Below are 14,376 nucleotides of genomic sequence, written 5' to 3'. Positions count from 1 at the left end.
TCACTGTCGGTGCCTCTACCCCGTCTCTTCTTTCCCACTTCACTTCCCTTTGTCTGTATTCTTCTGTATCCTTCCTTGTTTCCACCTCAGAACTTCACAGAAGCTGGATTTGATCCAGGGTAGAGAAGGAAGCTCTGAATGTTCTTCCTCACTCCTCATCTGCTTCTTAGTTTATTTGTTATGTAAAATATCCTTGGGGCTTTGTACAGCATCCAGTTTTTCAAAAATCATATCCATTTTTTTCAAATTTACAAATTGACTTTCACGTTTATGACTTTTAGTAAGTTAATCTATTACACTTGTGAAGTGAGCTAATGCTCTAGCACGGTGGTTACTGAAGTAACCATCCTTGGAATCCCATGGACCAGGCTCAGGGACTCTCTCCTGTTCTTGCTGACTGGCTTTGGGATCTAGGATGTGTTATTTAACCCTTCCAGCCCTTCTGTTTCTTCACTTGTAAAATGGAGATAATGCTAATACTTTCCTCAGGATTTTGTGAAGATTTAAAAAGATGATGCTTATAAGTGCTCATTACACTGCCTAAAATATAGCAGGCCTGCAGTAGGATAGCTGTTATTATTACCTCATCTAACTGTCACAACATGTGCGAATCAAGCAGAGTGTATTTCTCCTGCATTTCAGTAAACAGGAGCTGAAAGCTGGCTTTTCCTGTCATTCCATCTAGAAAGTGGTGTCCTAAATTCCTAAATGGTGGTCCCAAAGTCCTAAATTCAGGTTGAATCAAGTTCGTCTGTAAGAACTATCACAAAGTGGGACAACTGAAGTGAGTGACAGGGATTGTGCCCTATAATCAGGGTAATCGGGAACAACATGAGACACTTCAAAATCTTTACATAATGGGGTCTTGAGGGGTGCAGCCTCCAAAAGCCTCGACTGACCTCCCGGCAAGTAGGTGAGAAGATGCACTTGGGTCCAGGAGAGGACTGGCTCCTGTGTGTCTTGACATAGGAGGAGAGGATACTGTATCTGAAAAATTTCCAGACACACAGAGGCCAAAGAGTCTTCACAAAACAAGTTTTAAGTTGACTGAGCACTGAGAGCAAAACATTTACTAGGTTTCTCTACTTTGGTTTAAATTGCTTTAAATGCATGTAACTAATTAGGTTTTAATCCTAACTTGTTTCCGACAGGGCATGGTGCTGATGTGAAATGTGTAGACTGGCATCCAACCAAAGGGTTAGTTGTTTCAGGAAGTAAAGATAGTCAACAGCCAATCAAGTTCTGGGATCCCAAGACTGGGCAGAGTCTTGCAACACTGTAAGTGACAGGAACCCCACCTTGGCCCCTGAACAAAGGGGAGCAAAGCAGTGTGTCCTTTAACTTTTAGCTTTGTTTTCTCTTATGTATTTCTGGAAGAGTCATTTAGGCAACAGATGGACTTGGATCTATAGACTTCTTATGAATTAAATATGATTCATCTCTGAACTCTTAATGAAGTAAGGCTTGTTTTTGTCCTGCCACATAGACCTAAGTTTAATTTGGTTGTTATATACGGGTGGGGAGGAGGATGAGGAGGGAGGTGGTTACTATTCTAGCCTATTGCCTGTCATCAGAATACCTTGTGGCACTGTGAGGAGTTGACGTGTGTGCCCCTTACTAGACACGGCCCAGCCTTCTCCATCTCACAACATCTGTTTCGAGAGGGTTTTCTTCTGGTTTTGAACCACTTCTCATTTTTTGTCTGATGGGCTTACTTACGATGCAGCTATGTAATCTAGTTTTCTCTTTCAGTTATTTGTGAACATTCACAGCTACATGCATATGTTAACATTTTTTTGACCAAGCATCCATTTCCTGGTCTTTCTGATTGGGAAGAGAACCATATTCAGAGTGAATTGGTTGGAGCAAGGCTGCTTTGTTGTACAACCCCAATGACCATGCCAACCTGGAATGCCTTGTGAATGCTCCCTTGGAGATATCCATTGTGCAGGCCAGGGGTTGTTGCATTGTCTTTAGTTCAAATTAACTTTCAGACTTTCCAGTCCATTTTTATGCTTTGTCTTAATTAGAGAAACTTTATGGAAGTTTCAAAATGTAATGAGCTTTATTGAATATTAATTTCTGTGTTCATGTGCTTCCCCTGCTTCACGGATAAATTTTACTGTTCAGTGGAAGCTCTGCTACTGTATTATTATTATTATTATTATTATTATTATTATTATTATTATTATTTTGAGACAGAGTCTCGCTCTGTCACCCAGACTAGAGTGCATTGGTGCAATCTCGGCTCACTGCAACCTCTGCCTCCTGGGTTCAAGTGATTCTCCTGCCTCAGCCTCCTGAGTAGCTGGGACTACAGGCATGCGCCATCACGCCTGGCTAATTTTTGTATTTTTAGTAGAGTCTGGGTTTCACCATGTTGGCCAGGCTGGTCTTGAACTGACCTCAGGTGATCCACTCGCCTAGGCTTCCCAAAGTGCTGGGATTACAGGCGTGAGCCATCACGCCCAGCCTCTGCTGCTTTTTTAACTGGTTGATGAGAGCTGTCTTTGTCTGGGCAGTGCATATTATTTCTGTCGTTGACTTGTTTCTTTCAAGTGTGTTTATAACTGTGATCCTTTAATGTTACAGGCTTTATTGCTTCTAGGCCAAACCTCTTGCCATCTTGATTAATTCGCTTTTCAACAAAAATGGCCATTGTATTTATACTTGTTTTGAATTCTGACATTTTTTTTTGATACTTTGTTTCTAGTCATGCCCATAAAAACACAGTAATGGAAGTGAAATTAAACCTCAATGGCAATTGGCTACTCACAGCATCACGTGATCATCTCTGTAAACTTTTTGATATCAGAAACCTAAAAGAAGAGCTTCAAGTCTTCCGAGGTCATAAGAAAGAAGCCACAGGTCAGTGGCTGTGATATGCTTCTCATTGACCACTGTTACCTGTAACATTCTCAGATCCTGATAATTGTGTCTTTTCCCATGTTTTTGTTCTGCAGCTGTGGCCTGGCATCCTGTTCATGAAGGACTTTTTGCCAGTGGAGGGTCTGATGGTTCTTTGTTATTCTGGCATGTTGGGTATGTAAGATTTATGTGAAAAAGTAGTGTATTTTGTGAAGAGAGCACGTGAATGTGTGCAGACATGATAGTTTTGTAGCTTTTCTAAGTGTTCATATATCCTATATCAGAGACTGCTTGCAGTTTTCAGTTCTGTAAATCCAGCTTGGAATAGAAAATGTACCTCTGTTTGTGGATATGGAAGTCATTAAGGAGGAATAAAATAGATTTTCTAGTTTCTAAATGCTTGCAGCCTTTTCCCCTGTGAAGTGCTCTTTGGATGAAAGGGTAACTGTCCTTTGGCAATGACAAGCCAATACCCCGAGACATGTGGAATTCACCAGAGTCCAAGTCCAGGCTTTGGTAGCTTCATTTTAAGAGTAACAGAAAATGTCTTTTTTGAGGGGGAGGGAGAAGCTGGGTAACTTTTGTGAACAAATCTTCTCTCTTTGGTGCTGTTGCAGGGTAGAGAAGGAAGTGGGTGGGATGGAGATGGCTCACGAAGGGATGATCTGGAGTCTGGCTTGGCATCCTCTTGGGCATATTCTCTGCTCAGGCTCAAATGACCATACTAGGTAAGCTTTATATTGAAATAGCAAAGCTTTATATGGAGCAACAGGAAATAAATACTGTATGTGTTTATTTTTATTGGTTGATTGATATAGTAATTTATATTCCAACTTATTCTTGGGAATATTTTTGTAGTGGTTTACAAATACTTATATTGCAATAAAGAGATTGGGTATTGAATATGGTTTTGGCTATTCAAATTTTGTTTTGCCTTCTGACTTAAAACAGAAGTTTTCCACTTTTATTTATTTATTTATTTATTTATTTGAGACAGGGTCTCTGTCCAGGCTGGCGTGCAATGGTGCGGTCTCAGCTCACTATAGCCTCAACCTTCCTGGGCTCAGGTGATCCTCCTACCTCAGCCTCCTGAGTAGCTGAGACTATAGGAGCACACCACCACACCTGGCTAATTTTTGCATTTTTTGTAGAGATGGGGTTTCACCATGTTGCCCAGGCTGATGTCAAACTCCTGGGCTTAGGCAATCCTCCTGCCTCAGCCTCCCAAGGTGCTGGGATTACAGGCATGAGCCACCTTGCCCGGCCCCACATTTTATTTTTATTTTTATTATTATTTTAAGAGACAGAGTCTCACTCTGTCACCGAGACTAGAGTTCTGTGGTGAGATCACAGCTCACTGTAGCCTCAAACTCCTGGGCTCAAGCCATCTTCCCGCCTTATCCTCGTGAGTAGCTGAGACTACAGGTGTGTGCCACCACACCCAGCTAACTTTTTAATTTTTATTTTGTAGAGACAGGGTTTCGCTATGTTGCCCAGGCTGGTCTTGGACTCCTGGACTTAATCCTCCTGCCACAGCCTCCCAAAGTGCTGGGATTACAGATGTGAGCCAAAGTGTATGACCTCACATTTTAAATTTGTAGAAGAAACAAATTGTAAAAATGTGTTGTGTTTACCAAGGGTCTGCCTAGTACTGTTTAGTGCCCAAAAAAATAGTGAAGCCATGCTTCTTTTCTCCTTTAATTATTTTTACAGCAAATTCTGGACTCGAAACCGACCAGGTGATAAAATGCGAGATCGATATAATCTAAACCTTTTACCTGGAATGTCTGAAGATGGAGTAGAATATGGTGAGACTCTTGCACATCTGTCCTTCTTTGAAATCTGGTATTCTATTACAGAAGTGTTAGATGTTGGGAAGATTATACAAAATGAATTTTAATTTTATAGTAGATTTATTTATAAATCATCAGTGACATTCATTTTTATAAAGCATTAATTTTATCAGTCGCTACTTTTGTAAATTCTCTATTGACAATGGTGTATTACTATTTATAGATGACCTCGAACCTAATAGCCTGGCAGTAATTCCAGGAATGGGAATACCAGAACAACTAAAATTAGCTATGGAACAAGAACAGATGGGTAAGAGAAGTTACACAGACACATTTAATTTTTACAAATTTTTTCTTGACCCGTTTATGTTCCTGATAAATATATTGAAATACCAAAATGATTTATGTTGAGAAATGTTGATAAAAATTATATAAATGACATAATACTTAAAATCTATTCTTCCAATAATGTGTTCATTGATCAAGTGGCCAATTTCTTTTATTTAAGAGGCAAACCACTTTTCTTTACGGTTACAGGGAAAGATGAATCAAATGAAATTGAAATGACAATTCCAGGTTTAGATTGGGGAATGGAGGAAGTGATGCAAAAGGATCAGAAAAAAGTACCTCAGAAGAAAGTTCCTTATGCAAAACCCATTCCTGCTCAGTTCCAGCAGGTAAGTAAAAGTGACTCCACCTCATCCACGCAGAGAGGTTTTGGTTGGTTAGTTTGAGGTTTCTCTTGGATTATCTCACTGTTGAAGGTGTTTCTGTACTGGAGCATTTTTCCCATGTTCACGTACTCTTAGACATGGTTCTCATCTACTGCTTTGCAGTTGTATTGAGTTTGTTATCAGTCTTCTCTGTTCTGTCCTCACCTGCTTATTATCATCCATGCTATGAGAGGAAATAGAAGAAAGAGGCATGGAGCAGAGGGAGTATGGGAGTATGTTGCTTCTCTTCTCCATTGTTTATCTATCTTGTGCTTTAATTGTCCCCTCAACACAAAGTGCATGTACCCTGTGAAGAGGCTGGCAAGCTTTGCATTCTTAATAACATGCAGTGTCTTGCAGCTTTTATCACCATAGTAATTTCTACCTAGTAATATGTCAGTAAGAATTAGCATGAGTCATGTACTTGAGTCATGGAGAAAAGGTAAAAAGAAATAAAATCGGTTCAGAGGTTAGATTGAGCAGATGACATTGTAGAGTGGTTTTCTCATTCTATCATTGTAATTTTCATACTTAGCGTACATTTTAATATTCTCTTCTTTCCCAAGGCTTGGATGCAAAATAAAGTTCCAATTCCTGCTCCAAATGAGGTGCTGAATGACAGAAAAGAAGACATTAAATTGGAAGAGAAGAAAAAAACACAAGCAGAAATTGAGCAAGAAATGGCTACATTACAATATACTAACCCACAACTTCTGGAGGTGTGTGAAGCTCTGTAGGGGGGAATTCAAGATGATCTAAGAGGGTAGTGGTGACATTTTTATTGATAGGCTCTTAAGGAAAAGGGAAGGGGCTCTCCCATGGTCTGACAAACACCGCCATTTCCTGTTGCTATGCTAGAAGACTAGTTTCCAAAAGAATCCTGTTTCTTAAAATTTTTTAAAATGTGTTATTTATGTATTTTGTTTTATTTATTTTATTTTAGAGACAGAGTCATGCCCTGTCACCCAGGCTGGAATGCAGTGGTGCGATCACGGCTTGCTACAACCTCTGCCTCCCAGGCTCAAGTGATCTTCCCACATTAAGCCTCTTGAGTGGCAGAGACCACAGGCATGCACCATCACGTCTGACTAATTTTTTTTTAAGTGACTTCCTTGAGTCATATCTTGGACTTTTAAAACCCAATTAGGGTCAGGCGTGGTGGCTTACACCTGTAATCCCAGCACTTTGGGAGGCCGAGGCAGACAGATCACCTGAGATCAGGAGTTTGAGACCAGCATGGTCAACATGGTGAAACCCCACCTCTACTGAAAATACAAAAATTAGCTGGGCATGGTGGTGCATGCCTGTGGTCCCAGTGACATGGGCGGCTGAGGCAGGAAAATGGCTTGAACTCCAGAGGCAGAAGTTTCAGTGAGCCGAGATCGTACCACTGCACTCCAGCCTGTGCCACAAAGTGAGACTCTGTCTCAAAAACAACAACAACAACATAAAAAAACTGAATTAGTGGGGCAGTGAGTAGATCTAAGTTAAATATACATTTTTAATAGAAAAGATAAAGCCAACATAGTTTTAATTTGAATTCACCTGTTTATGAAAGAGTTTTTCCTTTTTGTCTGCTCATATAGCAGGTAGCTTGTTCTTATTTTTCTTATCTATGTTAGCTACCAAGAATGATGAATTAGTGGTGAATTATTGGGCTTTCCCTGATCAAGATGGACAAAAATAATCCTGACTAGGCCAGGCACAGTGGCTCACGCCTGTAATCCCAGCACTTTGGGAGGCGAGGCGGGAGGATCAGCTGAACCCAGGAGTTTGAGATCAGCCTGGGCAATATAGCAAGACCCTGTCTCTACAAATAATAATTAGCTGGGTGTGGTGGCATGTGCCTGTAGTCCCAGCTACTCCGGAGGCCGAGGTGGGAGGATCACTTGAGCCCAGGAGGGTGAGGCTGTAGTGAACCACGATCGTACCACTGCATTCCAGCTTGGGGGACAGAAAAAAAAAATAAGGAAAAAAAAATCCTTACTACTGTGTCCCAGGACTTAAAAAGAATGAGAAAGAACCTAAAACTCCTTACAGTGCTTGAGTGTTGCATGGACTCTAATTACCACTGGAGCGTGAAGAGTTTGAGCAGTTTTTATGTTTGAGAGTCCCCTAACAGAATACATGATAGCAATATTGTCATCTTCAAGGGCTCTGGCCTGTTTATTCAACATGCTTTTTTCTTTCTTTCTTTCCAGCAACTTAAAATTGAAAGACTTGCACAGAAACAAGTTGAGCAAATTCAGCCTCCTCCCTCATCTGGCACCCCTCTCCTCGGACCCCAGCCTTTTCCAGGACAAGGTCCAATGTCTCAGATTCCTCAAGGTTTTCAACAGCCCCATCCATCTCAGCAGATGCCAATGAACATGGCTCAAATGGGGCCTCCAGGTCCACAGGGACAGTTTAGGCCTCCTGGACCCCAGGGACAAATGGGACCACAAGGTCCTCCACTGCATCAGGGAGGTGGGGGGCCACAAGGATTCATGGGACCACAGGGGCCCCAGGGCCCGCCCCAGGGGTTGCCACGGCCTCAGGACATGCATGGGCCCCAAGGAATGCAGAGGCATCCTGGACCTCATGGCCCTTTGGGACCTCAAGGGCCACCTGGACCACAAGGTAGTTCTGGTCCTCAAGGTCATATGGGTCCTCAGGGTCCACCTGGCCCACAGGGTCACATAGGCCCCCAAGGCCCGCCTGGCCCTCAGGGTCACTTGGGCCCACAGGGGCCTCCGGGTACTCAAGGTATGCAGGGACCACCTGGTCCCAGAGGAATGCAAGGGCCTCCTCATCCTCATGGGATCCAAGGCGGACCAGGGTCTCAAGGGATCCAAGGTCCTGTGTCTCAGGGACCTCTGATGGGATTGAATCCAAGAGGAATGCAGGGGCCTCCAGGCCCCCGGGAGAACCAGGGTCCTGCTCCCCAAGGGATGATTATGGGCCACCCGCCTCAAGAGATGAGAGGACCTCACCCTCCAGGTGGACTACTGGGACACGGCCCTCAGGAAATGAGAGGTCCTCAGGAGATCCGAGGCATGCAGGGGCCTCCACCCCAAGGATCAATGCTGGGACCTCCCCAGGAATTGCGAGGGCCTCCAGGCTCACAAAGTCAGCAGGGGCCGCCCCAGGGCTCTTTAGGACCTCCACCCCAGGGTGGCATGCAAGGACCCCCCGGACCTCAGGGACAGCAGAACCCAGCAAGAGGGCCACATCCATCTCAAGGGCCAATACCATTCCAGCAACAGAAAACGCCTCTGCTAGGTGATGGGCCCCGGGCCCCCTTCAACCAGGTATTATTCATTTCCAACTCACGGGCACATTGGGAAAATACACTCTGCACAGAAGTAATACTGCTGAGTATTGTGGAAAATGGTCACAGCTGGATATAAATACTTATCAAGTAGTGACAGTAGCTTAAGATACTAGCATCCTGGCTGAAGAATGAAATCATAAGAATGATGAGTTAGGTTATACTCCCATTAAGTACATCTCAGTATTCATTTTTACTTCTCACCATTTTTCTTTTTTTGGTAATAGAGTTTCTTCAGAAAAGGTCAACTCTCATTTGAGTACAGCTGATAATTGTCCCAGGGCTCCAGGAGAGCTGTGGCCCTGAGGAGGAAGCATGTTTTACATGGTGGTCGGCTCTGAGGCTGTCATGCCTCCTTTCTGGGCCCTTTACATTGCAGCCTGGTGTTCCATGGGCCTGCCAGCCACAGAATCACTTCCTGTCTGCCAACTCTACTTTTAAAAGATAGGATGGGATATTTAACTCATGAGTATACTATAGACTCTGTACCTCACTCTGTTTATTACAGTGAATAGAAATAAAGAGACTGTTATTCCAGAATTGAGCATTCTGGAAATGGTGACCCTTTGGATGAAACTCTGCTCAAGTTGTTTTCAGCTCACATATAAAAGTATTTGCAGGGGGGAGCATTTCTGTAGAAATTCTCCTTCTTTGAGGATTCTGTTTTTGTTAGCCAATTTTTATTGCTCATGCGCTGAGCTCGTGCTTGAGAGATGGTGTGAGGAAAGTTCAGGTTGCTTGGGGGAGTGAATTACGAAAAGAATTGCATGAGCATAAATAGATGTAATACTGCTCAGCTATGTGCATTTTATGCTTTTCTCAAGTTCTTAGTCTGGAGGCATTATTTGGGTATGAATAACTGAGTTTTGTCCCTGAAAACTCACTTTTGGTCCAGTGTGGACCAAAAGTGAGCGAGTCAGCTAATGTTGACTCCCTGAGACACTTGGAGAAAGGGGATGCTACAGATGTAGAAAGCACAGTCTGTTTTGGTTTTTCAAATACCACCACGAATCCCTAATGTAAAGATGACCATTGGGTTTCCTGAACTCAACTACTAAGCTAAAACAAATAAATTATCTACTATTCTAAAGTAGGTCTTCCAGAACCTAAAAGTGTCGTAGTCATGGAGAATCTGATGATGTCTGAGTTATTTCCAGATTTTTATTCAGCACTTCTCAGAAGTTAGGATGAATTAAGTATAGGATTGCCATTCTAAATTGCCCTAAAACTTGAAGTATTATATATTTTATTAATTTACTGCTCAGTTGTATGTGTGTATAATATTATTTATTGTAAGTTATTTTCCTAACTTTCTGGTAGTAAATTAACAGTTTTCATTTTGGAGGATTAAAAAAATAATGGACTTTAGCTACTGTGTTATAACTGAAATATTTATAAACATGTCAGAGTCACAAGGACATGCCTGAGTTTCTGGGATAATTCAATGAGATTTTTTATTGTACCATGTAGTAAAAGATTTTATACATGGGAAGCATGATTCTGAAATTTTAATTGACCTATAGAAATACTGGTAGAATGAGTCTGAAGATCTGATACTTTGTAGGGCATTTCAGATCTCAGAAGTTGCCTGATGAAAATCTGTGCTCTTATTTCTCATATGCTGAAATCTAAGTTGCTTCACTTTAACCAGACCAGTTACTTAAACCAGTTGTTTTAATTGGTTTAATTTAGTGCTGCTGTGTTAGAATTTCTGACTTTCCATTGATGTTCTTTTTTGGCATTACGAGTAAAGATCTAATTTTACATAAAAGTTGTCAACAGGTTTAAAATACAGGTGCTTTAAAAAAATTATTATAGTAAAAGAAGTATCTCCTTTCTCCTGATTTAAGGACAATGTTACTGTAATCTTACTAGGTAAATATTTACTGGGTATTTTTATCTTGTCATGTTATAATGCAATCACTATTTATGTAGCTCAAGCCTGTGATTTCATACCCTTACTTTAAAAACATATTTTCAGGAAGGACAGAGCACAGGCCCCCCACCCCTGATACCAGGCCTAGGGCAGCAGGGAGCACAAGGTCGCATTCCCCCTCTGAACCCCGGACAAGGACCTGGCCCCAACAAAGGTAAATATCTGCTCAGCTGAATAAAAGATTATATTCTACCACCTTTGTGCACATTTTACAGTGAATAATTTTGTTGGCCAGTCATTGATAGACTGGTCATTTGAACCTCTGGGCAAAATAAGGGTGTGGTCATTCAGGTAGGAGCTTTGTCTTTGGTTGTGTTCTTGGATCTGTTTAGTAAGCCCCTCACCCCAGAGGCTGACAATGAAGGCACCCGCACAGGCTCCAGCAGTCGTGCCTGTGTGGCAGGCTGGCCTTGCCCATCTGTTGGCAATGCAGGTGGTTCCTGTGCTCACTGAGTGCAAGTGTGTGTTTGTAGCACCCTGAAGAGATGGACTGTTTGTGCTTGAATTGTGTGACAGTGTTTTTGTCATCACATCCTTGTCTTCCCAAACCCTGTCACACATTGAACTCTTCAGCTGGTTATGTAGTTGTGCACCATTTGAAAAGAAGAAAGCACTCTAGCCATATGTGGCTCCTCAGGTTGTTGATATGAAAAGGAAAGAGATGAGAATGATTAGTATTTAGATGTGGGGCTATTTGGAAGTTTAGAGTTAATCCTAAGGGTTGAAGGAGAGCACGCAGGGCACCATGGCCCCTGAGATGGGTGGGACCCCCCTGTCTTGCAGAGTTGGAGCAGGAGCGTGGTGAGCAGCACGCTGTTGGGGAGAGTTGCAGGGGGTGACTCGGAGTGGATGGAGGGGAGTGAGAGGAAACACTGTGTTATGTTCGACACACACTTTCATAACGGGGAGAAACCACAACTCGGAGAATCAGGAGGACCGCAGAGATTGCCCTTCACAGAACTTTACTCTCTTAGTTTTAATTGGCTAAGCCCATAGCACTGTGTGGTGCATGTTAAGATTTTTGCCCCCGTTTTATCCAATTAAGAAAAGTCCTTGTCAGCATTACAGCCCTAGGACTTTGTGAATTTATGCTCAGTCTTGAATTTATGTGTGATATTAGAGGTAAGAAAGAGATAAGGGAACTAGAGAGTGTTTATTTCTGTCCCATTGTGTGGAAGTGGTAGCAGAGGCTATACAGAAGGAACGTGGCCCACAGCGAACTAGAGAAACAAAAGGAGAGTCTTTTACCCCCTGAGTTATCGCCATCAGCAAACTGAGAGCTGCCTCTCTTCCTCTCCCTGCCCTGTGTCTGTCTCCACCTCCTTCCCTCTCATCCTTGCTCTTTCCCTTTTCTCTTTATCCCCCGCCCCCTTTCTTTCTCTTCCTCCTTTCTCCTCCCAGGGACCAAAGGGAGAAGGGAGAGCCGAGAAAGTGGCCCTGCCATCCCCTACTGGAATAACCGCCGCCGCCGCCCCATCACTGGTGGCCACATCCCTTCTAATTTGTAGTGGTGGGTTTCTTTCCTTGAAGAGCAGGGTACTTTTAAACAGATAGAGGTAATGGGAGGATTAATATTCATAGGTAAGTCCAAACGGAAAATGTTTAGCTTCCTTACACCAAAGGTCTGCTGTGTCTGAGATTACACTAAGTTCAAGCAACATCATGTCAGTGAAGAAGCCATTAGCTGCAGGAACACACTGAGAAGTGAGGGAGCCTGTCTACCAGAAGGAAATGGAGCTAGGATCTTTGCAAACTGCTGAGTAGAGAGGAGAGGACGAGTAAATGAGACAGACGGAAAAGAGCTGGAAGAGAGAGACTCCTTTATGGCACATTTTTATCCTGAGATTTCCAAGCATTTTATATATATTGCATGGTAAAGAGGAATTGAAATAGCCAAAAGAAATGAACTAAAATGAAAAGGGAGGGGCCAGGTGCAGTGGCGCATGCCTGTAATCCCAGCACTTTGGGAGGCTGACTGGGTGTATCACTTGAGGTCAGGAGTTCAAGACTAGCCTGGCCAACATGGTGAAACCCCGTCTCTACTGAAAATACAAAAATTAGCCGGGCGTGGTACCTGTAATCCCAGCTACTCAGGAGGCTGAAGCAGGAGAATCGCTTGAATCCCTAAGGTGGAGGTTTCAGTGAGCTGAGATCACGCCACTTCATTCCAGCCTGGTGACAGAGTAAGCCTCTGTCTCAAAAAAAAAAAAAAAAAAAAAAGAAACAAAGAAAGAAAAGAAAGAAGAGGGATGCTGTTGCGGGGGAGGTGAGAATTATGGTTGGCTGGGGTACAGGAGGGGTTTGTCTTTATAGCCAGGGAAAAGCAGTAAAAGGCATGAACTGGGCTATTGGAGGAATTTCACTTTAAAAACACAGTTTTTGTTTTTAGAATCAAGAGTATCCTTTCGCTACCTACTTTTAAAAAGTGTTTGATTTAAATTGTATGTTAACCAAAAATAGGTAAACATTTATAAAAGCTGCAGTAGTTCAGTAGCTGGAAAAACAGTCCCTTCCAAGTTAGGAGGTGAACTAAGTTAACCATCACACATTTAACTGGCATCTTTCCATTTTTATTCAGTACTTTCATTACAGTACATATTTTCACATATTTTAGAAAACTTTAGTGGGATTCCAAACACTGTCTTCAAAGAATGGTGAGAATATTGTAGATGAGGAACAACATCCATAGAGAGGTGCAGAAAACCCCGACACTGAAGCCCAGCAGGGCTGTTTGGTCATCAGGCAGGTATTTGAGAGGCTGGTGATTGCATGTACCTTACAGAGGAATCAAGTGCAACAAGCTGGGGTTAGAGGAGGGATGTCATGGGTGGCAGTGGCACCCTGTTGATGGGTACAGAGGTGAATTCTTGGCACGCTTCCTGGCCTGCAGCATTAATTTCCTCTGTTGTGTCCTCCTTGGATGTGGAGCAGGTGGCCCTAATGAAATGCCTGAAAGAATAGGGGCAGACAAAGGAAGCTCCTTCTGAAGCCCAGGAGGCTCTCTCATTTTTCCAGTGTATACTAAGAGATGGACAGATGCTGCTGATCTCATTTGAGATGAGTAATTTGCCCTAGCTAGTGGGTGATGAAGTTGAAATCTGCACCCCAAAGCTCCTGTTCTATTACCCAATGCTTCAGGGACATTTGTCTCCTAACTAAGCTGAGAACCAAGGAGGGAAAACATTCTCAATAAAGAATGTATTCTGAAATGTAGAGATGCTACAGATCAGACCTATGTTGGCAGGTTTCCTGGAAGACATGGTAAAAGTCAGCTTTGTTTCCTTTAGGTGACTCCCGCGGCCCTCCAAACCATCACATGGGCCCGATGTCAGAGAGGCGGCATGAGCAGAGCGGCGGGCCTGAGCATGGGCCCGAGAGGGGGCCTTTCCGGGGTGGCCAGGACTGCAGGGGTCCCCCTGATAGGCGTGGCCCTCACCCAGACTTCCCCGATGACTTCAGCAGACCAGATGACTTCCACCCTGACAAGCGCTTTGGCCACCGGTTACGTGAATTTGAGGGGCGAGGAGGACCTTTACCGCAAGAAGAGAAGTGGAGGCGAGGGGGCCCTGGGCCTCCGTTTCCCCCTGATCACAGGGAATTCAGCGAGGGGGATGGCCGGGGTGCAGCCCGAGGCCCTCCGGGGGCATGGGAAGGCCGCAGGCCCGGAGATGAACGTTTCCCCCGGGATCCCGAGGACCCACGTTTTCGAGGGCGCAGAGAAGAAAGGTGGGACAGATACTTTGTGGGCCCATTCCA

The 14,376-nt window shown here is 43.5% G+C and overlaps 1 protein-coding gene across 3 annotated transcripts in view, besides 1 other annotated feature; it reads left to right on the top strand.

The window, feature by feature from the left end:
• Positions 1 to 14,376, top strand: part of WDR33 (WD repeat domain 33) — a 110,145-nt gene that overhangs the window by 83,243 nt on the left and 12,526 nt on the right. For 2 of the 3 annotated variants that reach the window (NM_018383.5, XM_011511436.2), the window contains exons 8-18: positions 1,152 to 1,278; positions 2,714 to 2,868; positions 2,964 to 3,042; positions 3,486 to 3,596; positions 4,582 to 4,676; positions 4,885 to 4,971; positions 5,199 to 5,338; positions 5,941 to 6,093; positions 7,576 to 8,664; positions 10,666 to 10,774; positions 13,908 to 14,346. In NM_018383.5, the coding sequence (NP_060853.3) occupies positions 1,152 to 1,278; positions 2,714 to 2,868; positions 2,964 to 3,042; positions 3,486 to 3,596; positions 4,582 to 4,676; positions 4,885 to 4,971; positions 5,199 to 5,338; positions 5,941 to 6,093; positions 7,576 to 8,664; positions 10,666 to 10,774; positions 13,908 to 14,346 (2,584 nt within the window). The remainder of the gene's footprint in view (positions 1 to 1,151; positions 1,279 to 2,713; positions 2,869 to 2,963; positions 3,043 to 3,485; positions 3,597 to 4,581; positions 4,677 to 4,884; positions 4,972 to 5,198; positions 5,339 to 5,940; positions 6,094 to 7,575; positions 8,665 to 10,665; positions 10,775 to 13,907; positions 14,347 to 14,376) is intronic. The other variant, XM_005263697.4, reaches the window with a different exon arrangement.
• Positions 5,367 to 6,566: an enhancer, noted in NCBI's record as "CDK7 strongly-dependent group 2 enhancer chr2:128478937-128480136 (GRCh37/hg19 assembly coordinates)". NCBI's record gives its function as "activates an origin of replication core promoter dependent on BRD2, BRD4, P300/CBP, MED14 and CDK7 cofactors, with strong dependence on CDK7, by STARR-seq in HCT116 cells {active_cell/tissue: HCT116}" and the evidence as "EXISTENCE:reporter gene assay evidence [ECO:0000049][PMID:35650434]".

This window comes from Homo sapiens, chromosome 2, assembly GCF_000001405.40.
Source record: "Homo sapiens chromosome 2, GRCh38.p14 Primary Assembly".
Classification (NCBI taxonomy): domain Eukaryota; kingdom Metazoa; phylum Chordata; class Mammalia; order Primates; family Hominidae; genus Homo; species Homo sapiens.
This window is presented reverse-complemented; position numbering and strand designations above follow the sequence as displayed.